Here is a 26,992-nt window from a genome sequence, read left to right on the forward strand (position 1 = left end):
GTAGAGCTCAGAGGGAGTGATACCATCGAAATAATAGGACAATAGCGTCATTTGGTCTGATCTAGAGAGCAGGAGAAAGCCAGGTCATTAATTGAATGGAATATTATGATAGAACTCCTAAATTAACAAGATAAAGATAAAATATATAGCAACACAAGAAGACCGAAAAAAATAAGAAGGGAAACAGAGGAATAACAATGTTAAATAGCAGCCATAAAGTAATAAGAGAGGTATATTTATTTAACGTTTTCTTTCTTCTGTATTATTTGGGTACATTTTAAACCCAAACAGATTTAAAATTTAAGGCTATGAGTCGTTTGTTTGTTTGTTGTTTTTGTTGTTTAGCTAAGTACAGCTTTTATTGCAATACCCAAGCATTCAGGTACAGCATTTTCCTTACTTTGTAATTCCAAATATTTTCTAAGAAGTTAGAACTTCTAGGCCGGGCACGCGGCTCACGCCTGTAATCCTAGCACTTTGGGAGGCTGAGGCAGGCAGATCACCTGAGGTCAGGAGATCGAGACCAGACTGGCCAACACAGTGAAACCCCATCTCTACTAAAAATACAAAAATTAGCCGGGGATGGTGGCGCATGCCTGTAATCTCAGCTACTTGGAAGGCTGAGGCAGCAGAATCGCTTGAATCAAGGAGGCAGAGGTTGCAGTGGGCCGAGATCGTGCCACTACACTCCAGCATCGGTGATAAGTGAGACTCTGTCTCAAAAAAAAAAAAAAAAAAAAAAAAGAGAAGTTAGAACTTCTTTTGACCCATGGATGATTCAGCTTATTTTTAATTTTTAAAACTTCAATTTTTGAGTGTGTAGAATGAACATTTTGCTATTGGTGTCTAATTTAATTGTGCTATGGCCAGAGATTGTTGTCTATAAGAAAAAGGTTTTTCAAATATTCATTGACATTTGCTTTGTGGCCCAAAATGTAATATTTATATGTAATGACCTTTAAATCCAGCTTATGTTGTCTTGCCTGCTTGATCTATCAATTGCTAAAGAGGTACATTGGAATCCCCCACTATCACGATTGGTATGTAAAATTCTTCCTATATTCTTCCAAATTAACCTTTATATATTTTGAAGCTATTTTATTGAATTTGTATAAATTTAGAATGGATACATCTTTCTGTTGAGGTGAAACTTTTATGAACATGTAATAATCTTCTTCATTGTCATTAATGTTTTTATTTCTGATGTTTATTTTTTCTATTATTAAAATAATTCTCCTACTTTCATCTATGTAAATATATCTTTTCCAATTAAACCTTACTGTGTTCTAAAGTGTTAAGTTTACTTCTTCTAAACAGAATATAACTAGATTTCAAAAAAAAAATCTAGTCTGACAGTCTTTATCTTTGAACTGCAGATATTAGTCCATTTATACTTAATGTGATTATTATTATTTTGTATTTTCTAATTTTCTCCCAAGTTTATCTCCCCTTTTACTCCTTTCTTTCTCTCCTTTGGATTAAGTTTTTGTTCCATTCCTTAGTATTTTCTAAATGATAAATTATTTCTGTTTTTAGTAATGACCCAGAAAATATAACATGCATGTTTAATTTAACAAGATGTAAAGTTAATCAACAGCTTTACCCTCCTCCCCAAAATCTAAGAGCCTCAGTTGGCCTTTCTCCCATTTTCTTCTCCTCCTGACATTTATGCTATTTTTTGTATAGAAATTTATGTACATATCTTAATTTTTGTGGTCTTATACATTGAACATTTTTATCATAACCTTATCAGTCATATAAATTTTGTTTATTCACATTCATGCCTCTTAGACTCTTTCTGAGATTCTTTTGTTCTCTTATAAAGAAATTACTTTGGAGGGAGTCTGTTCGTCACGACTTCTCAGTTTTTGCTTATCTAAATGTGTTTTTCTTTGTCCCTTGTTACTAAAAGAGAGTTTGGTTACATGCAGTTCTAGCTGAATATATTTTCAGTGCTTTGAAGATGTTATGCATTGTCTTCCTGACCTTCATTGTCCTTCCTGTCAATGGAATTGTTATTTTTTTTATAGATTTTGACATATGCCCTAATTTGCCTTCCATAATTCCTATTTATTTCTGTGATACTCTTCACCTGTTTGGTTAGCACCCCTTTCATTCTCAAGAGTATCCTGGTTTGGCCGGGTGAGGTGGTTCATGCCTGTAATCCTAGCACTTTGGGAGGCCAATGTGGGCAGATCATGCGAGGTCAGGGGTTCCAGACCATTCTGGCCAACATGGTGAAACCCTGTCTCCACTACAAATACAAAAAAACTAGCTGGGCATGGTGGCACATGCCTGTAGTGCCAGCTATTAGGGAGGCTGAGACAAGAGAATCACTTGGACCTGGGATGCGGAGGTTGCAGTGAGCAGAGATTGCGCCACTGCACTCCAGCCTGGGCGACAGACTCCGTAAAAAAAAAAAAAAAAAAAAAAAAAAAAGAGTAACCTTGTATCCTGGTTTGGTCAATAAATTTGGCCAATAAATTATATAGTTAACCAAGTGTTAAGCAATTTATCCTTTCCCTCTGGATACCTTTAAGGTTTTTTTTTTTTTAATAACCTTTGGCGTTCTGCAGTTTTATTATATGTCTTGGTGTTGAATTTCTTTTAATTTACTCTACTTTGGATTGCTTGGGCTTCCGGAATCTAAGATATGGTTTTTCCAGCCGTCCAAGAAAGTGCTCGATCATCATTATCTTTCAAACGCCTACCTTTTCTCCTTTTTCTCTGTTCTCTTCTTTAGGAAGCATTAGACGTGCTTTAATGTTGACTGATTTTACTCTCCTCTCCATGTAGCTTAACTGCTCAGATTTTCCATTTCCACATTTGTCTGTGCAATGGTCTGAGTAATTTCACCAGCTCTGTTTTTCAGTAATTTGTGATGTATCCAGTTATTACTGAGTTTCCAATTTCCAGTTTTTCATCTTTAGATATTCACTCGGTTCTTTTTCAAGTTGATCTGGCCAATTTTCATAATCTCTTATTAGTTGGTCATTCTTTCACTTTGTCTTTTTCCTTTAAATATACTACACTTGTTTATTTTGTATTTTTAGCGATTCCAACACCTATTGTTTTTGTCTATCTGAATCTGCAGTTTCTTGTTTCTGCTGAGTCTCATGCTTAACGCTGATGTGCTCCTTCCTCATTTGTGGGCAGGAGATCTGGTTTAAATGGTGAGTCTTCTTCCATTGGTCTGGGAACACTATCACCTTATGGGCACTACCAGTTCAGGACTACTAGAAGTTTAAACTTATTGTCTTCCAGAACATACAGACAGTAGAAGTTCTGGCCTTGCAGACTTGTTAGTATGATCTTGTGGTTAGAAATTTTCACAGGAGAGTTTTCTCCTACCTTCTTCTAGTCTCACCACAACCAAAACCAACACAAGCATGTATGATCATTGTTTTCCTCTTCAAGGCAAGTTCTTTCTTAGTTCAAACTGTGAATGTCACCTACGGAGGTACAGCTTTATGCAGTGGGTCTCATAGGTGACCTCTCATGATGTTCAGACTTAAGGCTTCATCTCTTGGTCCCCATGTGTGGCTTGTTGTGACTAAGGCTCTAGGTTACCAGGCCACCCAGATATCTCCAGGGAAAATTCCAGCACAAGTGTTGCCTCTTGGATTCAATATTTCTTGTCATTTCTGAACACTAAATCCCTTACTTCTCACATGCCAAGTCATGTAATATACATCCATCTATCTATCTATCTATCTATCCATCTATCCATCTATCTATCCACCACATATATTCATGTAAATATACATTTATCATTTTTAACTGAGATATACTTTCAAAAGTTTATTTGAATATCTTATCTGCCATATTACTAGAAATTGAACTGGTCGTGTGTGTGTGTGTGTACGTACGTGCACAAAACTTGTTGATTTGCTCAAGGAAATATTCATAGCCCTTTACAGTGCCTTACCTTAATTAACATGTGAGTCATCTCACTGCCTTAGCTGGGCTGCCTCATCCTCCTCTGTCTTATTCTGATACCCTGAAAGTTTTCTAAGATAGATTGATTTTTCTCATATCTTGCAATAAGAATTCAGAGACTGTTCTCCAGCAGGCATGTAAAATTAGAATAACATGCTTCAGTGCATTTCTGGAGTACAGAAAAATTTTATAATATTAACTAATGAATGGTGCAAAACACAGAAATAAAGGCATGAAAGAAAACATAAGTACATGTCAGTAAACTAAAACATAGAAATCTTTAAGTCTTGTAGTGTACTTGGTTATTGATCATTGATGATTGATTGTGATAGGTATTAGATAACTAAAATTTCACTCAATGTAAGATCATTTGATGTGCACTTTAAGTAATGAAAAGAATCTTCTGTCTAGGTGTGCTACATATTGGATTCAAGAAACGTCTCTCAATTCCTATAGACCCACACTCAATGGCAATTAAAGCAAAATAGCGACAATTTCTTTAATAATGTAATTGACTTACATTTAAGGCTTTGTTCCTTACTCTGAATTTTCTTACTGTTTCTTCACAATGTTCTAATTTTCAGTCACTTTCTGTCTAAAGCTACAACAGAGTCTTCTTTTTATCAAGCTAATGGTGCCATCTGTTTTTAAAAATATAATTCTATGTGTACTGCTCTGTCTTAATTTCAAGGAAATATTTGTTATCTTTTCTCCACTTTCTTGAATCACATGTTCTAATGTGTTTGTCTTTGGATGACTTTATTCAGAAGAAATTTATAATTTTTCTTCAAGTTTTATTGAATATTATTCTGCAGATTTATTTGCATTCCATCATTTCATCACATGCCTTCTATAATTAATATTCAAATCTAGGAAATTAGGGAAAGACTGTTCAGGAATTAAATCAAATTATGTAATTATTCTGGCCAAGTTTTGATTTCTTAACTGATGTGTTGAATGTGTGCCAGGATAATTCACTGAAACATTAAAATGTATTTCTTCTTTCTCTTTCTCCCCGAGCTTTCAGCAATAATGGATGCCGATCCCTTGCCTCTGGCACTTTTAGCAGTGCAGAAAGCATAAAATAATGGACAATATTGCTACCTCTCTTTTTCAAAAATTGGAGCTCACTGAGGACAATACGCTCTGTGCCCATAGGGAGAAAAAAGAAAAAGAAAAGAAAAGGAAAGGAAAAAAAGAAAGAAAGAGAGAGAGAGGGAGGGAGGGAGGGAGGGAGGGAGGAAGGAAGGAACGAAGGAAGAAAGGGAGGGAGGGAGGAAGGGAGGAAGGAAGGAAAGACTTTTTGTTGTTACTGTTTCTCTCTCTCTCTCTTTCTTTCTTTTTTTCTGTAGGGAGATCATGCAGTCTAGGTGCACTGGAGATCCATACCCCAATCTTTCATAGCACTTCTAAGGGGGACTTTGCCATGTATAGCTAGACACCTGGGCTCCTTGGCAAAGGAGAAAGGTAACTCTGCTTGGGCTGAGAATGAGGAACAGCTCACTTCCAGGGACCACAGGCTCAGAGAATTGCATAATCATGGCAGCTCTACCGGGTTGAAGAACGCATGGGGATCCTTCTCCCTTTTGAGTACCCTATAGACTTCCTGGGCTCTCTGTATCTCAGAGAGGACAGCGGCCTTTGTGATGATAGAAATGGAATTTTCTGCTGGTCCCTTACAGAATAGGAATCCTAAATCACAATTACTTTAAGTTAAAATATAGGAATCATTGCATTTCTTCTATACATGAATTTTGGTTTGCAAATGCATATTCTGTACAAATACCTGTCAGAGAATAGCAACACCCATTCCCAGGTTGTCCACACACCATACTGTCCCTATTGTCATAGGAAGTTGCGAAGGTCTTGAGACAAAGATACCTGCAAAGCACACAGATTTCTACCCATCTTTGAGGAAATATATGTGAAAATCTGTGCAAAGTATAAAGCGCTAGAAGTAATTATTATTTTTAAATAAAATATGTGTCGCGTATTATTTAAAGGACTTGCAGGAAGAATCTGTACGAAACAGTGCTGGGTTGTCATAGTTAAAAATTGCTTTAGGGTTTTACATAACTGAATTTCCAAGATAGAATTTTATATTACATTTTTAAAATAATTCCAGAGTATCCTGGAAAATGTGCTCTGAATCTCAAATTTCACCACTTCCCTGCACTCTATGAATTATTCTTATTTGCCTGAATAGATGAAATTGCCAGTTTGTTTGAAACATATTGTACACTATATACAATTTCATATACAAGACAATTTCTGTATACATGAGAGGATTTCTGGCTTCTGGTCTGACATGTAAAGAGCTTGAAAGTTATTGCTTCTTAGCTGGGTGTGGTGACACGCACCTGTAGTTACACCTACTCGGGAGACTGAGGCAGGGGGATCATTTGAGCCTGGGATGCAGAAGTTGCAGTGAGCTGAGATTGTACTCCATCTGCACTCCAGCTTAGGCAACAGATTGAGACCCTGTCTCAAAAAAAAAAAAAAAAAAAAAAAAAGGAAAGAAAGAAAGTTATTAATCCTGTCTTTACAACAAGGAAAAAAACTGAACGAAGGGAAAATCAACTTTTCTTAGTTCCATCAGAGAACTGAGGTCACAGGGTCAACTGCAACCCCTACAACTGGAGACAAAGGCAGACAAAGAATCACAGCTTCCTGGAACAGAAGCCCAGGAGCAGAAGAAGCCTGTGGCTGGAGCCAGTATCCGTCCGAACGCTGGCACTGGTAACCGATGAATTGTTGGGAGGCTCAGTGGACCAGCCTGAGTTATATTTCTGGGGGCCCAGTCTTGGGAGGGGCACACTTTCAAGAGTTTTACCTCCAGGACCCCTAACAGGTTGTCATGTGAAGATCAAGAAAAAATCCCCTTGTGCTTCTTGCAGCCGGGACAAGCATATAAACCATTTGAAATATACCCAGATCCTCCACCTCCCAAGTTCAAGAGATTCTCCTGCCTCAGCCTCCCGAGTAGCTGGGACTACAGGCACCCGTCACCACGCCCAGCTAATTTTTGTATTTTTAGTAGAGACAGGGGTTCGCCATGTTGGCCAGGCTGGTCTCGAACTCCTGACTCAGGTGATCCATCCGCCTCAGCCTCCCAAAGTGCTGGGATTACAGGTGTGAACCACTGCACCTGGCTCCTTCTGTTCTTTTTAAAAAGGCCTTCCCTCAAGAGAAACATTTTACCAGAGTCTAACCAATCAAGGAGAAGGAAAATACCTAAGTGAAGCTCACTAAAGGACTGAGACCTAATCTTAGGAGTATAAATGCCTCTTCTCCCCTCAACACCTCACCACCACATCAATAGAGGTTTTATATAATAGCAGGGGAATATAGCTGAAAGAATTGCAAGCCTCAGACCCCATTTAAGGAGTCTCTAGACAAACTAGAAGACCACAGGGGAGACAAAAACAAGGACACTGAGGGAATGTTAGCCGCTGACACCACAGCTATAGCAAACAGTAAACACAGCCTAACTCCTGGCCAAATCAACATAGAAGCTCCCGCTCAAGGCCTGTCTCAGCTGTTTGTGCTCTATGCAAATGAGAGCAGCTTCCTAACTAAGCACTGAAGGACTATCTTGAAGGTGACAGTGGGGGCCCCTAGGTGGATCATTTCTCCAATGTTTGGGTACAAGCTACACACAGGCTACAGCAGTAATGGCATGCAGAACTGCAAGAGTCACAGACACATGAACCATCTTGAAGGACAGACGCTGAGCTTCAGAATCACAGAATATCAGCGCTGATAGGAATCATTTAGTGCTGGCCCAACACTCACATTGCAGATGAGAAAATCGAGCTCCAGAAGAGATGATCTTTGGCCGGGCGCGGTGGCTGACACCTGTAATATTAGCACTTTGGGAAGCCGAGGCGGGTGGATCACATGAGGTCAGGAGTTAAAAACCAGCCTGGCCAACATGGTGAAACCCCATCTTTACTAAAAAAAAAAAAAAAAAAAAAAAAAAAATTAGCCGGGCGTGGTGGCAGGCGTCTGTAATCCCAGCTACTTAAGAGGCGGAGGCAGGAGAATCGCTTGAACCTGGGGGCGGAGGTTGCAGTGAGCCGAGATTGTGCCACTTCACTCTAGCCTGGGAGACAAGAGTGAAACTCCATTACAAAAACAAAAACAAAAAAACAAAAACAAAAACAAGAACAACAACAAAAAAACATGCAGGAGTCTTGGGATGTTATCTTAAAGCGAAGTTTATTTTTCATCTTCCGCCATTCCTGTATGTTTTCCTGGGGTGGAAGTCGTTTCCTGATCTCTGAATGAAAAATATATTTACTTTAAATCAGATGCTTCTCAGTGTGGTAATTAGTGGCAAGGCCTATAGAATAAGCAAAGTTTCAAATTAGACTTAGAGTAAAATCTCACACTGTCCTTCCTCCCATTCATCCACCCAGCACTGGGGTCTGCTGAGGTCTGGAATCTTCCAGTGGGTAAAGAAGGCTGGTCATTTCTCTCTTTGCTCCTCCTCCCACAGAAGTTTCTGACCGTATTTGGCTGATGTAGGGAAAGCAAGAAGTAGGAGGAGATGGAAAGTTTCTACTTGAATGGTAATGTTTTAAGATGGTTTCATGCACTCCGAGTGTGAAAACTATTTTAAGGCCAAATCTGTCACAGCTGCCCCAGTACTTTTGAGGGGTTTTCCGAGAACCTATCCTGAGGGTCAGCAAATGTCCTCTGTAAAAGGTCAGATATTGAATATTTTAGGCTTTGCAGGTCACACATCTTCTGTTGCAGCTACTCAACTCTGCCCTTGTAACGCCAATGAATGGGTGTGGCTGGGTTCCAACAAATCTGCAGTTACAGTAACACCCAGCCCAGGGGCCACAGTTTGCCAACCCCTGATCCATCCAGTCTCGGAATTCCAGGTCCGTTGGCTCGGGCATGTGGAATCTAGTTCGTGGTTGCTGAATTCCCCTTACCCCTTTGGGAAAGAAAGAGCAGCTCCAGCTTCTCCCCCGCTGGAGCCTGGTGTTTTTCTAACAGCTACTTGAACAAGTTCTGGAATGCATCCCCATTCCTTCTCTTCATCATGGGCTCGTTACATCAGGTCTACAAGAAACTGTCATGAATTATTTGACCCCCCGACCAAAGACTCTGGGCATCTGGCTGATCCTTCTCCTGGGAATTCACTTTAGTTTGCCATCAAGTTAGCTGGCCAGTTTGGAATCTCAGATCCACAGGCATTAGTCAAATCCAGGTCAGCTGCGTCCATCTAGATTCAGGGACATGAATTTCCCGAGGGGTCCTTTGAAGGCCCCTCTCTCTGCTCGAAGTAAGGAGCAGGCATGGTGGGTCTCATTATACTCCAGCAGCCTTTGCCAGATCATCTCCACAAACCTCTTCGGTCTCCAACAACCCGATCCCTCTCACCCTTGGTGTAGGTGAATCTCTGACTTGCTTCAAATTTCCAGGTGGCCGGGTGTGGTGGCTCATGCCTGTAATCCCAGCACTTTGAGAGGCCAGGGCAGGAAGATCATCTGCGACCAGGAGTTTGTGACCAGCCTGGGCAACATAGGGAGGCCCCATCTCTACAAAACAATAAATAAATAAATAAATAAATAAATAAATAAATAAATAAATAAATAACTAGGCATGATGGTGCATGCCTGTAGTCCCAGCCAGCAGGCTAAGGCAGAAGGATTGTTTGAGTCCAGGAGTTCAAGGCTGCAGTGAGCTATGATTGTGCCACTGCACTCCAACCTGGGTGAGAGAGTGAGACCTTGTCTCTAAAAAATAATAAAATCAAATAAAAATGTTTCCATGGGAGAGAAACATGGCATCTATTGTCTTCACACCTCAGTCAAACCCAGACAGGAAGTGCCATTTTCACACTGTGTGAGTAAAGCACTCATCACAGGACTGTGTTTCATAGCTACCAGCTTTCTTGCTTCTCGTACCTCCGTCTGAATTTCAGCCCCCACTCCCTGTGTCTCAAATTGGGATCGCCAAGCTCTCTAACATAGCTTTTAATTTTTATTGTAACCAGAATCTAAAAAATTTGACAAACACACAGCACAAGTTAATGCATTCATATTCATTATCACAATGATATTCACAATCTCCATCTTTCCCCTATCACACATATTTACATGGCGGGGAGAGGCTGGCAGAAGGGGAGAGGACAGATCTGAGGGGACAATAACGAGAGAGACAACTGTGGGGAAAAAGGAAGCCTTTAGGCGTGGGGAGGACAGGGCAGGCTGTTGCAATGGACACTTTGGGAAGCGGGAGCAGAAAAGAAGAATTTTGGGGTGTTTGGCTGTATGTGTAATGCACTCATTTAAATCTCTTTCAAGAAAACCTCAAAGAAACATCTACATTACTCTTGGAGGTTTCTGGAATAGTCTGCATTTTTTTCTTCTTTCTTTGTTATTCTTGTTGGCTAGGAAGGTTGCCTGTAGCAGGCAGAGGTTGGCTTCAGGTCAGCCCCTCTCTATTCAGGCTGCATTCCGCGTTGTTGGATAAATACAAGTATGGCCAGTTGATTTCAGTTTTACTTGTCACCCATAATCTTCAGGTGACGTAATTGGATGTTCTCATTTACCCAGAACAGTCCCTATTATTGCCTCTTGTCCCAGCATAATGAGTAATAACATCCTCTTTCACTCTCAGTCTTGTCCTGGTTTGGATGATGGATGTTATGGTCACTCTTCCTTTAAGTGACAGCTTTTGCCTTTACTGCAGTGCCTCTCTCTGCTTATCTGGCTGAAGACTAGACAGTGTCTTATAGAAAAAAATAGAAGTCACAATTTATTTCTATTAACAAAAACAATTTGTGGCTTGGAAGAAAAACTTTTCGGGGAGTTAGTAACACATTTGATCCCCATCATCCGGAGACGTGAGGAATAATTTAATTAGCCTGTGTTGCAAAGGAAGTAGCCCAAATGCTTCTCTTCTTCCCCAGCCTGGATATACTTTAACATCAGTGACTCAGGGAGCCTGTTCTACCCACATTGCTCCACACAGGCAGTTCCCTGCATAAAGTGCTCCTGTCGCTCTCCTTCCCGACCAAAATATTTCTGGGAATTTCCAGACGTTCTCTTTGCTACCAAACAAGCTTGACTACATCAGTAACCCCAAGACATCAGCTACATGCTTCATTTCCCGGTCTCTCCCCGCAAGACATCAGCTACATGCTTCACTTCCCACTCTCTCCTCTTTCCATGTCAGCTGCCTACTTGAAGGAGCCACATTCTTGCTGTAGCTGATAGAATCCCAAATAAGGCCCAATGTCTGTGGAAAGGTGCTTTCACCCAGTTCTCCCAAAGCCGCCCTTCCTCAACGGAGTTGGGCAGAGCTGGGCTCCAGGAACAGCTGCAGGGAAAGACTCCCTCTTGGCCAGTTTGTTACTGAGTCCCACGGCAGCCTGCCTGTGCCTGCGCTCAGAGTCCTTCATTTTCTGGCCCTTAATCCTTATTTGCACTGGGGTTCCAACCACGCCAATGGGCTAGATAGGAAACCATGTAGCCTCTGTTCTCTGTCTCCCGTTTCTCTTCCTCATTTTGATCAGAACAAACCTTCCAATCGTATCACTTCATGCACATAGATACCTGACAAAGGAGATGCAACCTTTTAGAAATACTCAAAATCAGCCTATCCTATCACAGAAGTCCTTTTTAATCATTAGAGCTGTTTGAAAGTAGAATTACATGCTGGTTAGGTCATGGTTTGCCCACAATAGTGGTGATAGTCTGGGAGTAACTGGATCCAGGGAATTAGAGTGGGTGTCCCTTCATTGGGTGAGAACCTAGATGTGAGGTCCACCAGGATACCTGTAATTCTGGGTTGGCCAGAATTCTAAAATTAAGTTATTTACTCTCCATTAACAAATTTGGAGATATGGAAAAATAGACTCATTGTATATTGATTAGATCATGATATTTATAAACTGGAAAATGAGAATGAACAAAGGACTATTTTTCTTCTTCTTTTTTTTTTTTTTTGTTTCTTGAGATGGAGTCTCACTCTGTCACCCAGGCTGGAGTGCAGTGGTGCGATCTTGGCTCACTGCAACCTCCACCTCCTGGGTTCAAGTGGTTCTCCTGCCTCAGCCTCCCCAGTAGCTAGGACTACAGGTGCACGCCACCATGTCCAGTGAATTTTTTTATTTTTAGTAGAGTTGGGGTTTTGCCATGTTGGCCAGGCTGGTCTCGAACTCCTGACCCCGAGTGTAAGCAATGCTGTATTCTCTGCTTGCATAATTGTCATCTTGCTCTCTTAGCTAATACTTTGGCTTGCGACAAGACATTCCTTTTGGGCTCTTTATACTCTTGGCTCATTGACCCAGACCTGAATATCAAAGCCTCTTAGACCTGCACTTTCTCACGGAGCAGAGGCTGTGTGCGGCAGGGTCTTTGATGAATGAACCAGCCCCTCCTGTGTGGCATGCATGTGGCAAGGTGCCCGGTATGCAATCACTCAACTGCCCTGCCTTCTCGACGGAGGTGGGATTGTCCAGGTGTTTTATCATGTCCCTGTTTCCGGTCACACACTATTTATCAGGAGGGATCATTGACAGGATGTATACCAAGTCGTGACTAATACTCATTCCCCCACATCACCTCATCTTTTATTTGGTTGCTGTTGCCATAGGATTAGCATTTCCTACCAGGGCCAGAGGCCAGCTGAGAGGAAGAGCTGATGCATTGGTGAGGAAATGAAGTTGCAACAAAGCCTACTACATTAATTCCATTTGTAGAAAACTTAGAGCTCTGAAGAAGCAAAGAAAGCCAAGAAAGTCTAAATAATTTTTGAATGCTTAATAACTCCCTCACATTTAAGAATATAACTTTACGTAAGCTATAGATATGCAAACCGTGTGTGTTATCCACATCCATTCCCTCCTCTGGAAATGAAGGATTGGTATACTACTCCTGTGCTCTCCCTCCACCAGACAATTCGATGTGCACCCAAGCACTATACACATGGAAATAATGAATTCTAGAAAACATAACTATCACACCAGCATGGTTTAAATGTGTTTATGTATACAAATAGTTGCATTTACCCAGCAAAAACAATAGTTAAATGTTTAAAAAATACATTTCCTCTCATATGCAAATAAACTAGGAGAGTGAGCTTGCTCTGCTAGGGCACGGTCACAGTGACTTGAACACTTTCCAACTCAGCCAGGTCTGGCTAAGTTGCACGCTGTTGCCTCACATTCTCTGCCTTCCTGGACCTTCCCCGTTGCATTCCTCCTTTCCCTTGCCTATTTCTAAGCCTGATTCTCCAGTTTTTATCTTCATAGGGTAAGATTTTGGAATTTTGGAACTCTTTGGAGAAAAGCTACTCCACAGAAAGAGACAGAGAGAGAGAGAGGTTCCCTTTATCTCTGTTAGCATCTGACTCTCGTTTCCTGTTTGTCTGCCCTTGCTATCTCTTTAAGACCGTTAAAATGACTTTATTAAATGTAAATATATGAAGACAATGCATATTGTGGTTCACTACACGTGCAAAAAGACTGAATCATTAGCCACCTGGTAGGACTGAGAAATATTACCCTGCATTTTTTTCTTCTCTGCCCTACAAGTTTCTATTGCAGTTTGGGTTACAGCACAGGGTAACGCAATAGGCACTGGAATTGGTCTTAGAAGATCAACGTTTGAATTCCTATTGAGGCTATTGCTAGGTTTGACAAGTCAGTTAGCCTCCTAAGGATTTCTTCCATGCTTACCCATTTCATTTGCGTCATCCAAATTTAAGGTACATGCAAATACGCTCATAAATACACACATAAACACATGTAGATATACACACATATTTTAATAGAGTATATAGTTCCTACAATCTTCATCTACTTTTTTTGCTTTGTTCAGTGTAAATTAATAGACATTTACCTTGCCCCAAATTTTTCACTACCGGCGTAGATTTTTTTTGAGGATACGATAAGGTTGTTTTTCATTTTGCTTTCAAATAAATAATCATCGGTAGGAAAAGGAGATTTATTATATGTATAAACATGTGTTCTCTGTGCAGGGGATATCAGATGTATGCTAACTCTTTTGTGTAAAGAGATCATGTCTAAATCCCTTGAGTGGCTGTTCAGCTAACGTTTAGAGTCTCTTAATCTTGTATTTGATGCTAAACCAAATAGGCCCTTAGGGAAGAATTAAGAATAAGCCAGACAGTATAAAATTCTTATTTTGTTAAAGTTGAATAGTATTTGTTGCATTAGGTACAACCAGTGTAATCACTATGAGGGTTAGTTGAGTATACTCTCTGTACACATACACTCTAAAATAAAATGACCTAGGTATACAGAAGGACTAAAGGGATTAAAGATTTCTATCTTATTATTTGACATTGAGAGCACTGCCCTTTTGTTGAAACAAAATGTCATTCAGATGAATAGATAAGGTCATACCTCCAACATCACAATGAATCTAAATCGCGGTAAAAATAAGTTGAGTAACAAATTTTTACTTAAAAGCCATCAAATTTTATTTTGTGTTTTTGAGTCTTGGATTTTGTGCACAGAAACATTCTAATATTGTTTAAGCAACAGGGAATAGAAAAGATTAATCAGTAATTAGCAAAGCTTTAAAAAAATGAAAGTGAACATGAGTCCTAAGACACGCTGTGATTTTTGCTTTTTGTTGCTGTTGTCGTTGTTATTGTTGTTTTCGCTTTGTCTTCCAGGCTGGAGTGCAGTAGCATGATCATAGCTCACTGCAGCCTTGGACTCCTGGGTTCAAGTGATCCTTCCACCTCAGCTTCCTGAGGAGTAGTGGGGGCTACAGGCATGTGCCACTGCATTTGGCTAATTAAAAAAAAATTTTTTTTCTGGTAGAGCCAGGATCTTGCTGTGTTGCCCAGGCTGGTCATAAACTAACACTGTGATTTTTTAAACATGAGCTCTCCTTTGGGCTGGCAACGTGATAAAAGAAAATATGTTTTTCTTCTGAGGAAAATAATTATTTATGAACACATTTTTTCTTCATTAAAACATAGATTTAGCCCTAAAGTCTAAGTCAAAATAAAAACAACTTAAATATTGCTCCATAAGGCTAGTAGTTGGTAATTTTTGTTTTTTTTTTTTTGAAATGGGATCTCACTCTGTCACCCAGACTGGAGTGCAATAGTCAAATCTCAGCTCACTGCAAACTCTGCCTCCCGGATTCCGGCGATTCATCTGTCTCAGCCTCCTGAGTAGCTGGGATTACAGATGTACACCAGCACACCTGGCTAACTTTTGTATTTTTAGTAGAGACAGGGGTTTCACCATGTTGACCAGGCTGGTCTCGTACTCCTGACCTCAAATGATCCACCCACCTCAGCCTCCAAGTGCTTGAATTACAGGCGTGGGCCACCATGCTTAGCTAGTTGGTAATCTTTTAAGGTGAGGTTGCATTTACAGTAGTCAGTTGCGTTTACTGCCCTCGCCCCACATTTTGTTTTCAGGGATTCAGTGGAATTTGTTCTTATATTTATTTGTGAATAAGATTACATATTTCACTTTTTTCCCTTTCTTCTCTTTGGCTGTTGCTGTGCTGCATGCTTTAGTAATTATTACCAAGCCCCACCCTCGCTTCCAGATACCCAGGTGGCTTGTATTTTGTACCATGGCTCTGGTAGGGATGTGCTGCCTCTCCTGGATGCTACACAGGGTGCATTGGCCATGCTCAGGCTGAGCATCGCCTGGCTGCTGGTGCTGCAGCCCCTGCCACCCTCTCTGGCCCTGCTTGACATCACTGCCTCCAATTAGCTGCTTTCACTGCAGACACCCTAGAGCCCATACAGCAGATGCTGAGGTACTGGAACCTCAGGGTTGGGGAGGAGATGCTGAACTGCATAATATTCCTTGGAAAAGTGGGAGAGAATTCTTGCCTCCCTTTGAGGGCTGTACTCCATTAAACTGGTCCAGAAGTTTGGGTATAAAGCTTATACCCAAAGGTTTTGAGAAACAGGCATTTTCACTTTTAATTATATGATTACCTCTACTCTTTTTTTTTTTTTTTTTTTTTTTTTTTGAGACAGAGTCTCCCTCTATCGCCCAGGCTGGAGTATGGTGGTACGATCTCGGCTCACTGCAACTTCCACCTCCCAGGTTCAAGCGATTCATTCTGCCACCTCAGCCTCCTGAGTAGCTGGGATTATAGGCTCCCACCACCACACCTGGCTAATTTTTGTATTTTTAGTAGAGATGGGGTTTCACCATGTTCCCCAGGCTGGTCTCGAACTCCTCACGTTAAGTGATCCACCTGCCTCAGCCTCCCAAAGTGCTGGGATTACAGGTGTGAACCACCGCACCCAGCCCCTACTCTATTTAAAATAAGATTCAGGCATGAGTCCACTAGGCTGGACCAGGGAAAGATCTGAAAGACAAACACAGCCATTCTTCTCCCGGATAACTGACTCTTCAGTCTTGGAAGACATGGGCCGGCCTGCTCCTCTTTCCCCTTGGGACAAGTTTTACTTATGTGTGTATTTTTCTTCCCCGGGAGTCACTTGGGTTTTCGTGGAAATAGACTGCTGTTTGCCAAAGCCACGTCTGGGTCCCAGAGTTGATGTATTCAGACAGCACTGTCAACATACTCTAGCTAATGCAACGCTGGCTGGTGAGAAGAGCAGGAAAGTTATATAGGAAGAGAATGAGAGGGAAGATTCCCAAACCCCTTACATACTTATTCATTGTAAATTGGTGTTAGATGCAGATTACTAATTCTTTTTTATTTTTATTGTTATTTTTGAGACGGAGTCTTGCTCTTTTACCTAAGCTGTAGTGCAGTGGCATAATCATGGCTTACTGCAGCCTCCATCTCCCAGACTCAAGTCATACTCCCTCCTCAGCCTCCCAAGTAGCTGAGACTAAAGGCATGCACCATCACAACCAACTAATTTCTTTAAATTTTTTAACTTTTAAATTTTATTTTATTATTATTTTGGAGGCAGAGTCTCGCTCTTATTGTCCAGGCTGGAGTGTAATGGCACGATCTTGGCTCACCGCAACATCTGCCTTCCGGTTTCAAGCGATTCTCCTGCCTCAGCCTCCCGAGAAGCTGGGATTCCAGGCATGTGCCACCGGGCCCAGCTAATTTTGTGTTTTTAGTAGAGACGGGATTTCTCCATGTTGGTCACGCTGATCTCGAACTCTCGACCTTAAGTGATCCGCCTGCCTTGGCCTCCCAAAGTGCTGGAATTACAGGCACGAGCCACTGTGCCCAGCTTTTTAAAATTATTTTTTGTATAGACAGGATCTGCCTGTTACCTAGGCTGGTCTCCAACTCTTGGGCTCAGGTGATCCTCTGGCCTTGACCTCCCAAAGTGCTGGGATTACAGGCGTAAACCACCACGCCCAGCCAGATTACTGATTCTAACCCATTGCATATAGCTATAGGTTCTCTCCTCTGTGTCTCAGTCTCCCCATCTGGAAAGCGGGGATAATAATAGTATTCAACTCATAGGACTTCTGTGAGGCTTAAATGAGTTAACAAATGTTTTATGCTTAGAAATATATTTATATAGTGACTACTACGTAACTATTAGCTATTATTATTTTCCCGGCTTTTTCTAACTCATGCTCTCATATCCTGGGTTTCATTAGACAACTTAGTAGTTTCCACAGGTGACCTAAATTTGTTTTTCTCTTTCTACTTTTTGCCTCCCTACTTCCTGTGTGAGGATTTTTTTTTTCTTTTTTTCTTTTCTTTTTTTTTTTTTTTTTTTTTTTTTTTTTTTTTGCATCCTTCCTGCTTTTGTTGAGCACTTTTGCTAGGATTCCTGACATGGTTGGTTTCTCCGTTCGCGTAGCTGCTGATCTCATTCGGTTTTTCCTCCCTTCTCTGGGAAAATGGGAGGGTGGGTGGTGCTTCAGGGTCAAATCAAGGACAAGCAGGAGTGAGTCAGGATCCAGGTGAGAGGATGTAGAAATAAATGATCCTGGGAAAGAAGAAGAGGAGGGGGCTGAGAAGAGAGTTCTCGATGCTCCCCACAGCCTCCTCCAGATTCACGGACTGCATGAGGCTTGCACGACCCCGTGGAGGGTCCAGAAAGGGAAGGACAGCTCTGCCCCGAGCTCACCCTGCAGACTGGGCTTCAGCGTGCTCTGGGCACCCTCAGCTGCCATGGCTCTCCAAACGCCGCGTGCTTCTCAAATTCTGAGCCTTTGTGCGGTTGTTTCTTCTTCTTGGATTGAGCGTCACTTGTCTCTTTTGGAAACCATACTCCACCTTTCAGGACTCAGCTCAAAGCATGGGCTTAACCATCCCCTAAGAAGTATCCCCTCATTCCCCGTGTCCCCGTCTAGTCCCTATTCCTTGGCCTTCTGTGCTCCCCTCTCATCACGAGCCCGGAACTTACCTTGGACTCTTCTGATGATGCGGTGACATTTCCCTAATGCCATTGGGAGCCCATGCAGGCTGGGACTTCGCACCCCTGTCCTAATAAAGGGTTTGGCACATGGTACTTGCTCAGCGGTAATTACATGCTGGATTCAATGAAAGAAGAAGAAAGATAAAGAGATACTTGGCAAGAGGAGAGATTGCCAATGTGAAAAGAAAGGGCAATGGGATGCCGGTGAAGTCCAGCGTAGTGAGATCGCTCCACGTTGTTAAGAGGCGACAGTGGGAGGAGGCAATGGGAAGGCGGAATTCAATGGCTTTCCTCCTGTGAATGAGACACTTGACTGGGCCTTACACTGAGAACCTATTTCTGCCTGGCTGGCGCCCTCCTCCACCTAACCCCCCACGGCTTGACCATGGCTGAGGCCAAGTCCACCACTCTCTACTCACCCCTTCCTGACTGTGCAATTGGCATCTCCCAGTAGAATGAGGAGTGCTGAGTATAGTGTGGACCCAAGTATGTAAAAACACGCCTGGCACAGTAGATCATGCCTGTTATCCCAGCACTTTGGGAGGCCAAGGCAGGAGGATTGCTCAAGCGCAGGAGTTTGAGACCAGCCTGGGCAACATAGCGAGACCTTAACTCTACCAAAATTCATAATAATAAAAAAAAACTTAACCACTTGTGGTGGCACATGCCTGTAGTTGTAGCCACTTGGGAGGCCAAGATGGAGGGATCTCTTGAGCCTGGGAGTTCAAGGCTGCAGTGAACCAAGATTGTGCCACTACACTCCAGCCTGGGCGACAAGGAGAGATCCTGTCCCTAAAAAAATAAAATTAAAAATAAGGTAACATTTGAACAAAAAGCAGTAACTGTGAGAATCAAAGGACAGCAAGGCCAGCTGATGTCCCCGCCTGCTGCAGGCCTGTTTCCCCACCTCTGGGCGCTCTCCTGGATGATCTACCCTGTTCACAGCAGTGGCTTTAGAACCCTGGGCACCATGCCAGGGCTCCAGGCAGCCTCACTGTTCAGCTGCAGTGTGGGACCCCCACAGCCTCACCTTGGCCTGTGGCCTCAGGTCCATGGCCCTGGAGCCCACTTAGGAAGGGCTGTGCCACCTGTGTGGAAACTACTGGTTTTTGGGTCACAAACCATATTCCACCATCAGGGTCACCATCATCTTCTCTCAGCTGCCAGTCTTCTCTTTGGACGTACCTCAAAGGAAAGGTGAGATCAAAGAAAACAAAATGGAATAAAATAAAATAAATGGAAGTGCTGAGCCATCAGTGCCATTTCTGAGCAAGCACCTTTTTTTTTTAGTTCTAACCCATTCTGTTGAGAAAATGTGACTCTGCAAAGACTGGAGAGTGAGATCTCTGGAAAGTGCTTCCCGTGCAAAACTCCCATTTTTCATGTCTCTGAATCAATATTTGTAGATTGACCCCATGTGCCGGGGCGAGACACTGCCTCCCGTTGTTCACCTCTGATCGGATGCTCCCTTCCTTATGGAGGCTGCTGGTGCAGGTAAGGGCTTCCTCTCACTTGCTCCCAAGGAGCCCAGAAAGAGTGATCCCATCATGGAGCAGCAGAAAGTTTCCATTTGTTTGAAGAGGAGAATATGCTGGACTCGCTGGATGAAGCCTTGAGCCGAGAGTCCTGCCCTGTGCCCTGGAGCGGAGCTGAGTGACTCACCCCCTGTTCTCTGCTGGGAGTGGAGGGTCCATGCGGCTTTCCTCCCTTTCTTTCACCTGGTGTGCAGTTTTACTCACGGCTTCTCTCCTATCCTCTGACTCATTGACCTTGATAGGGAGGGAGGGTTACCTGGAGGCATTCCAGGAGGCTGACTTCAGCAGTCACCTCCGCCCTGGGCCGCAGGGGCACTGGGGACACCAGTGCGTGACTGCTCCCGGCTTGCTGCTTTCCTTCTCACATCCACTTTCTAAGGGTAGGCAGTTTTCCTAGGAACTCAGCAAGTCATACCTTCTCAGAGACTTCTGCAGAGCAGCAAGACAAAGCTTACTCAGAGGCGCCCACAGACCAGGAAGGGTGAGTCACCGGAGCAAGGCTATGGGGATCCTGATCCACTGTTTGCGTCCTCTGTAGAGCAACAGGACATTTTCTTATTCCCAGGCCCCTGTGTGCTGAAAACGGGCCGCCAAAGGAGCCTCTGCCTTCAGCCAGGCTTGGAAGAACACCAGGAAAGCAAAAGGTGGTGGTGGGGACCTTCTCCATGTTTATGGGTCTATGCTGAAAATCCCAGTACAGATATGAGGAAAGAGCCCTCTTATGGGCAATGGAAAAGCTTAGATTGGTTCAAATAACACAGTGAAGCCTACTGATTTAAGATGATGCTTTGAATAGAACACTTAAAATTTAGGTCTTTCCTTAGCCTCTGAGTTGTATAAACCACATGATGTGGGGACTTTGATGTCCTCCAGTTTCTTTCTGATTTGAAATGGAGCTAATGCTATCTCCTGCCACCTCCCAGAAGGACACAGAGGAAATATAAACATTGACGTGGTGGTGGCATCTTAGTAAAAAAAAAATCACGAGGGTTCAGTTTGCTAAAGCAAGACTTGGAATGACCTGATAAATGGCCAGGAAAGACCAACTGTGGGAAATAAATTCCTCTCCAGACTTTAGCTGTTGGGGTTAGGATTTCCAGTTCATAGCTTTACTTAGGAAGGTGAGCAGGCTCAGAAAATGCACAGACCCCTTTGAGGGCTGAGCACCCAGACAGGGCGGCTGGCTCAGCTGGATAATTCCTCTGGATTAGGGGAACTCTGGGGGAGGGATTTTAATAAGCGGAAATGTCTCCCCACTCATGGAATAATGGGTTGAGACAAAGAGCAGCTGGAAATCAAGAGAAGGCCAAAGAGGGCGAGAGAGAAAGATAATGTGAGAAGAGGAAAGAAGAAAGGACCGCTAGCTACAGCAGAGGGTTCATTCTCAGGGGAAAACTCATGCTAAAATTCAAGAAAACCTCTCCTAAAGTAAGCTGTTTGGCGATCTTGAGAAAGGCTTAGCCTCTGGAAGCAAAGTGTTAGCTAAATACAAAGACTTGATATAGTCTGGATGTTTGTCCAAGCCTCAAGTTGAAATTTGATCTCCAATGTTGGACGTGGGGTCTAACGGGAGGTGCTGAGTCCTGGGGCAGATCCCTCATGAACAGATTCATAACCTCCCTGTAGGGGGTTGTGAGTGAGTTCTCTATTAGTTCCTGCAAGAACTGGTTGTTTAAAAGAGCCTGGCGCTTCCTCTCTCTCTTTTCTTCCCTCTCCATGTGATTTCTGCACCCGCTGGCTCCCCTCCAACTTCCACCAAGAGTGGAAGCAACCTGAGACCCTCACCGATGCAGATGCCCAAACTTGGACTTTTTCAGACACCAGCATTGTAAGCCAAATAAACATGTTTCTCTATCTAAATTACCCAGTCTCAGGCCTCCCTTCAGAGCAATACTAAATAGACTGAGATAACCCGATATATATTTCAGAAGGATGGTGGTAAGAAGAACATGACAGAGACTCTTCAGTAATCTTGATTGCTGATAGTGGTTATTGAAGATCTTACTCATTCATCTATTTGGCCGTAGGGTCTCTTGAGGCCAGAAGTTCAAGACCACCCCAGGCAACATAGTGAGACCCCCATCCCTACAAAAAATTTTAAAAATTAGCCGGGTGTAGTGGCATGTGCCTGTAGTCTCAGTTATTCCGGAGGTTGAGGTGGGAGGATCACTTGAGCACAGGGGTCTGAGGCTGCAGTGAGCCATGATCGCGCCACTGCATTCCAGCCTGGGCAATAGAGGGAGACGCCCACTTCTAAAAATAAATAAATAAATAAATAAATAAACAAATAAATAACTTTAATTGTAAGTTAAAAGAACTGTTGCATCCAGTCATTAATAGTTCATCCTGTATCTTCCCATATTCCCCCAAGTCAAGGCCCTCACATCTCCTACAAAGCACAGAAAAAGCCAACTCACATGCCACCCTGTGACCATCAAAACAAGGCGGCACGTCAGACTCCCCTGCCTAGACCCCAGTGTGAGCTAGCCAGGCTGGAAAGGGATCAGCCTTCGTGCAGGCCCTCGGCTGGGTCTGGCTGGGGTTTCAAAAGAGTAATCCCATCCAGTCCCTTAGAGGTTGGGCTGAGCCAGTTGTCCAAGCAGATAAACCTCCATATTCTGCCAAACTCCCCATACGAGGAATGCTAATGGGCTAAAACTTGACAGGAAAAATAAATTTGTGGATCCCCAAGCTCACTGCTCAGGTAAGATGATGGGGCTGCACCCATGATAAAGTTCTCTAACATCTGTGCAAGGGCAGAAACCTTCACTGCGAAAGAGACACATGCAGTAGTCATTGATTTTTTTTTAAGGGAAAACAGCCTCAGGAGAACCATAAAACTGGAAACGACATGAAAGATGGCCTTCTAATGTAACCCCTGGGCTGAATTTTTCCAAAAAGATATTATAGATGGAGCAATTATAAAAAAAAGTATCCATAAGTGATTACAAATAGTGAAGTGGTGCTCGAGAGACAGAAAAATAAAAGCTGCTCAGGCTTTTAGGAACTCCAGTTAAATCCTACTCTTGGGCAAAAGCCAGCTCATGGTCTGGAAATCAGCCTTGGATGCTCATTAACAATACCTTCCCATTCCCACCACAGCCTGCGTTTCCTCGATCTCTACCTCATCAACTCCATCCTACCTCATGCTTTGAAATCTTTACCCCTGAAAAGATTCGAGGAAGAGCAGGGGGCCATAGTGGAGGCCAACAATAATATCAAGAAACCCCCCAAAACCTTTCTTCTCCACACACACTACCCCTACTGAAGGATGGTACATGGGGACTTGCAGTATAGGAATTTGGAGGGAAATGAAGGGGATTTTAGATGCAAAGGCCAATAAGATGAAATCTTTGGTGGGAAGGTAAACAGAAAGCAGAATTTTATGAAAAACAATTTACAATATGAATCAAAAGATTTAAAATGTTCCTATCACCTCAATGACTCTCTCCCAAAGGAATCACAAGAAATCCTTCCCCCAACCCCACACACGAAACACACACAAATGTGTAAAATTAAAATGATAAAGACTGGTCATGCCAAGTCACACAGAAGAACTGGAACTCTCATAGACAGCAGGCAATTATATATAATGGCATAACCACTTTGGAAAACTATTTGGCAGGTTCTAAAAAGTTAAGCTAACACCTACTTTATGACCCAGTCATTCTACTGCTGTGTATTTACCCAAGAGAAAAGAAAGCATATCTACACAGAGATACCGCAGAGATATTGTGGGTTCAGTTCCAGACCACTTCAATAAAGCAAATACCTCAATAAAGCAAGTCATAAGGTTTTTTTGGTTTCCCAGTGCATATAAAAGTTATGTTCACACTATGCTCTACTCCCTTAAGGATGTAATAGCATTATGTCTGAAAAAATATACACATCTTAATTTTAAAATAGTTTATTGCTAAAAAAGCTAATGATCATCTGAGTTTTCAGGGAGTTGTAATCTTTTTCTGGTGGAGGGTCTTGCTTTGATGTTGATGGCTGCTGACTGATCAGGATGGTGGTTGCTGAAAGTGAGGGTGGCTATGGCAGTTTCTTTAAATAAGAACAGCGCAGTTTGCACCATTGATTGACTCTTCTTTTCATAAAAGATTTCTCTGTAGCGTGTAAGAATGTTGCATAGCATTTTATCTGTAATAGCACTTTCAAAATTGTAGTCAACTCTCTCAAATCCTGCCCCTGCTGTATCAACCAAATTTATGTAATATTTGAAATATTTTGTTGTCATTTCAACAATGTTCGTAGTGTCTTCACTAGCGGTAGATTCCATCTCAAGAAACCACTTTCTTTGCTCATCCATGAGAAGCAACTTCTCATCTGTTCAAACTTTATTTTGAGATTGCAGCAATTCAGTCACATCTTCAGGCTCATTTCTTATTCTGGTTCTCTTATTATCTCCACCAACTCTGCAGCTACTTCCTCACTGAAGACGTAAGCCCCTCAAAGTCATCTATGAGGGTTAGAATCAACTTCTTCCAAACCCCTGTTAATGTTGATATTTTGACCTGTTCCATGAATAAGAATGTTCTTAATGGCATTTAGAATAGTAAATCCTTTTCATAAGGTTTTCAATTGATTTTGCCTAGATCCATCAGAGGAATCACTATCCATGGCAGTTACAGCCTTATGAAATGTGTTTCTTAAATAATAAGACTTCAAAGTCAAAATTACTTCTTGAGCTGTGGGCTGCAGATGGATGTTGGGTTAGAAGGCATGAAAACAACATTTATCTCCTTGGACATCTCCATCAGAGCTCTTGGGTAACCAGGTGCATTGTCAGTGAACAGTAATATTTTGAGAGGAATATTTTTCTGAGCAGTAGATATCAACAGTGAGCTTAAAATATTCAATATACCATGCTGTAAACAGATGTGTTGTCACCAGGCTTTGCTGTTCCATTTATAGAGCGCAGGCAGAGAAGATTTAGCATAATTTCTCAGGATCCTAGGATTTTTGCAATGGTAAATAAGCATTGGTTTCGACTTGAAGTCTCCAGCTACATTAGCCCCTAACAAGAGAGCTAGCCTGTCCTTTGAAGTTTTAAAGGCAAGCAACAGCTTTTTCTCTCTAGCTATAAAAGTCCTGGAAGGCATCTTCTTCCAAGAGAAGGCTGTTTCATCTACATCAAAAATCTGTTGTTAGTATAGCCACCTTCATCAGTGATCTTAGCTAGATCTCCTGGATAACTTGCTATAGCTTCTATATCAGCCCTTGTTGCTTTCATTTTGGACTTGTATGTTATGGAGATGTTTTAGTTCCTTAAGCCTTATGAACCAACCTCTGCTTTCAACTTTTCTTCTGCAGATTGCTCATCTGTTTCAGCCTCCATAGAACTGAAGAGAGGTAGCACCTTCCTTTGTATTAGGCTTTGGCTTAAGGAAATGTTGTGGCTGGTTTGATCTTCCATCCAGACCACTAAACTTTCTCCATCTCAGCAATAAGGTTGTTTCACTTCTTATCATTTGTGTGTTCCCAGGAATGGCACTTTTAATTTTCTTCAGGAACTTTTTCTTTGCATTCACAGTTTGGATGTTTGGTGCAAGAGGCCCAGTTTTGGCCTATCTTGGCTTTCAGCATACCTTCTTCTATCTATGGCAGTATAGCCTTATTAATTGTATTTCTTAAATAAAAAGACTTGAAATTTCTTATTATGAAACTAAGCTTCATCATTTCTAGCTTTTGGTTTAAAGTGAGAGACATGTGACTCTTCCTTTCACTTGAACACTTAGAGGTCATTGTGGGATTGTTAATTGGCTTAATTTTAATATTGTTGCACCTTTGAGAATAGGGAGGGCCAAGAAGAGGCAGAGGGATGGGGGAACAGGTGGTCAGTGGAGTTCTCAGAACACACACAACATTTATCCATTAATAATCTAATGTGAGCATGATTTGTTATGCTGCAAAACAATTACAACCAAAAGCATCAAAGATCACACCGATTACAGATCACGTAACAGATGTGAAAGTTGGTCATAAGAATTGGGTCATACTTGTCATACCCAACTAAAACAGAGACCAGAAGCCAGAGAGGAAAAGACACTCAGGGTACAAAAGACTGTTTAAAGAACACAATTATCTGCAAGCCTGACTGCTGTAACTGCTTGTGGTAACCTGAAACCAGTATTATTTATACCTTTGGTGATAACTTGCTGCAACTCTAGGACTAATTATGCCCACTGCCATCGGTCACAGATCAGAGTTTGCAATCTCCCCAAACAGTTACTAGCACCAATAAACTTTGTGAAAAAGCAATATGTAACATTTCTTCTTTTTTTATAAATCTTCTAACCTTCTTTTTGTTTTTTGGACATCCTGGAGACCACCTAGTCTGTGTGTAGGCCCCAAATTGCAATTTTGTCCCCAATAAAACTTTAAATTTAGAGATTTGTCTCTACATTTTTATTTTGACTTCAATGCAGACATAATAATAATGAAAAAGTTTGAAATATTGCGAGAACTACCAAAATGTGACACCGAGACATGAGGTCAGCATGTGCTGTTGGAAGAATGGCGTCAACAGACTTGCTCAATGCAAGGTTGCCACAAATCTTCAATTGGTAAAAATGATAAAATATGTGAAGAGCAATAAAGCAGAGTGCATTAAAAGAAGGCATGCCTATACAGAGACTTGTATGTAAGTGTCCCTAGTGGTTTTATTTATAGTAGCCCCAAACTGACAGCATTGAAATATCCTCCAAAAAGTGATGAATACATCAAACTATGGTATAGCCATACAGCAGAATACCATTCAACAATAAAAAGGAATATACTCCTGATATACGTAACAACACAGGTCAGTCTCAAAATGTTTAATGCCAAATGAAAGAAGTCAGACAAAAAAGGATATATATTCTATGATTTTAATTATAACAAATTCTAGAGAAATACAACTTAATGTATAGGGAAAGGAAACATATCAGTGGCTTCCTGGGGATGGATAGGTAGCAAGGCAGGAGGGAGGAATTATAGAGAACCACAGGAAATCTTTGTGGGTGATGAAAATGTTCATCATTTATGAAAATTAGCCAGGTGTGCTGGCTGGTGCCTGTAATCCCAGCTATTTGGGAGACTGAGGTAGGAGAATCGCTTGAATCGGGAGGTGGGGAGGTGGAGGTTGCAGTGAGCTGAGATTGCGCCATTGCACTCCAGTCTGGGCGTCAAGAATG

General features: G+C 42.0%; 8 annotated features.

Annotated features, from left to right (window-relative positions):
- Positions 3,211-3,270: an enhancer, noted in NCBI's record as "active region_26964". NCBI's record gives its function as "activates an Ori minimal core promoter by ATAC-STARR-seq in GM12878 lymphoblastoid cells {active_cell/tissue: GM12878}" and the evidence as "EXISTENCE:reporter gene assay evidence [ECO:0000049][PMID:35858748]".
- Positions 7,286-7,375: an enhancer, noted in NCBI's record as "active region_26965". NCBI's record gives its function as "activates an Ori minimal core promoter by ATAC-STARR-seq in GM12878 lymphoblastoid cells {active_cell/tissue: GM12878}" and the evidence as "EXISTENCE:reporter gene assay evidence [ECO:0000049][PMID:35858748]".
- Positions 7,956-8,025: a silencer, noted in NCBI's record as "silent region_18893". NCBI's record gives its function as "represses an Ori minimal core promoter by ATAC-STARR-seq in GM12878 lymphoblastoid cells {active_cell/tissue: GM12878}" and the evidence as "EXISTENCE:reporter gene assay evidence [ECO:0000049][PMID:35858748]".
- Positions 12,138-12,638: an enhancer, noted in NCBI's record as "H3K4me1 hESC enhancer chr8:8145864-8146364 (GRCh37/hg19 assembly coordinates)". NCBI's record gives its function as "activates a minimal SCP1, AML or CMV promoter by ChIP-STARR-seq in naive H9 embryonic stem cells {active_cell/tissue: H9 hESC(naive)}" and the evidence as "EXISTENCE:reporter gene assay evidence [ECO:0000049][PMID:30033119]".
- Positions 18,783-19,694: an enhancer, noted in NCBI's record as "H3K27ac-H3K4me1 hESC enhancer chr8:8152509-8153420 (GRCh37/hg19 assembly coordinates)". NCBI's record gives its function as "activates a minimal SCP1, AML or CMV promoter by ChIP-STARR-seq in primed H9 embryonic stem cells {active_cell/tissue: H9 hESC(primed)}" and the evidence as "EXISTENCE:reporter gene assay evidence [ECO:0000049][PMID:30033119]".
- Positions 18,783-20,606: a biological region, named in NCBI's record as "P300/CBP strongly-dependent group 1 enhancer GRCh37_chr8:8153089-8154288".
- Positions 19,363-20,562: an enhancer, noted in NCBI's record as "P300/CBP strongly-dependent group 1 enhancer chr8:8153089-8154288 (GRCh37/hg19 assembly coordinates)". NCBI's record gives its function as "activates an origin of replication core promoter dependent on BRD2, BRD4, P300/CBP, MED14 and CDK7 cofactors, with strong dependence on P300/CBP, by STARR-seq in HCT116 cells {active_cell/tissue: HCT116}" and the evidence as "EXISTENCE:reporter gene assay evidence [ECO:0000049][PMID:35650434]".
- Positions 19,695-20,606: an enhancer, noted in NCBI's record as "H3K27ac-H3K4me1 hESC enhancer chr8:8153421-8154332 (GRCh37/hg19 assembly coordinates)". NCBI's record gives its function as "activates a minimal SCP1, AML or CMV promoter by ChIP-STARR-seq in naive H9 embryonic stem cells {active_cell/tissue: H9 hESC(naive)}" and the evidence as "EXISTENCE:reporter gene assay evidence [ECO:0000049][PMID:30033119]".

This window comes from Homo sapiens, chromosome 8 (genome assembly GCF_000001405.40).
Source record: "Homo sapiens chromosome 8, GRCh38.p14 Primary Assembly".
NCBI classification, from domain to species: Eukaryota; Metazoa; Chordata; class Mammalia; order Primates; family Hominidae; genus Homo; species Homo sapiens.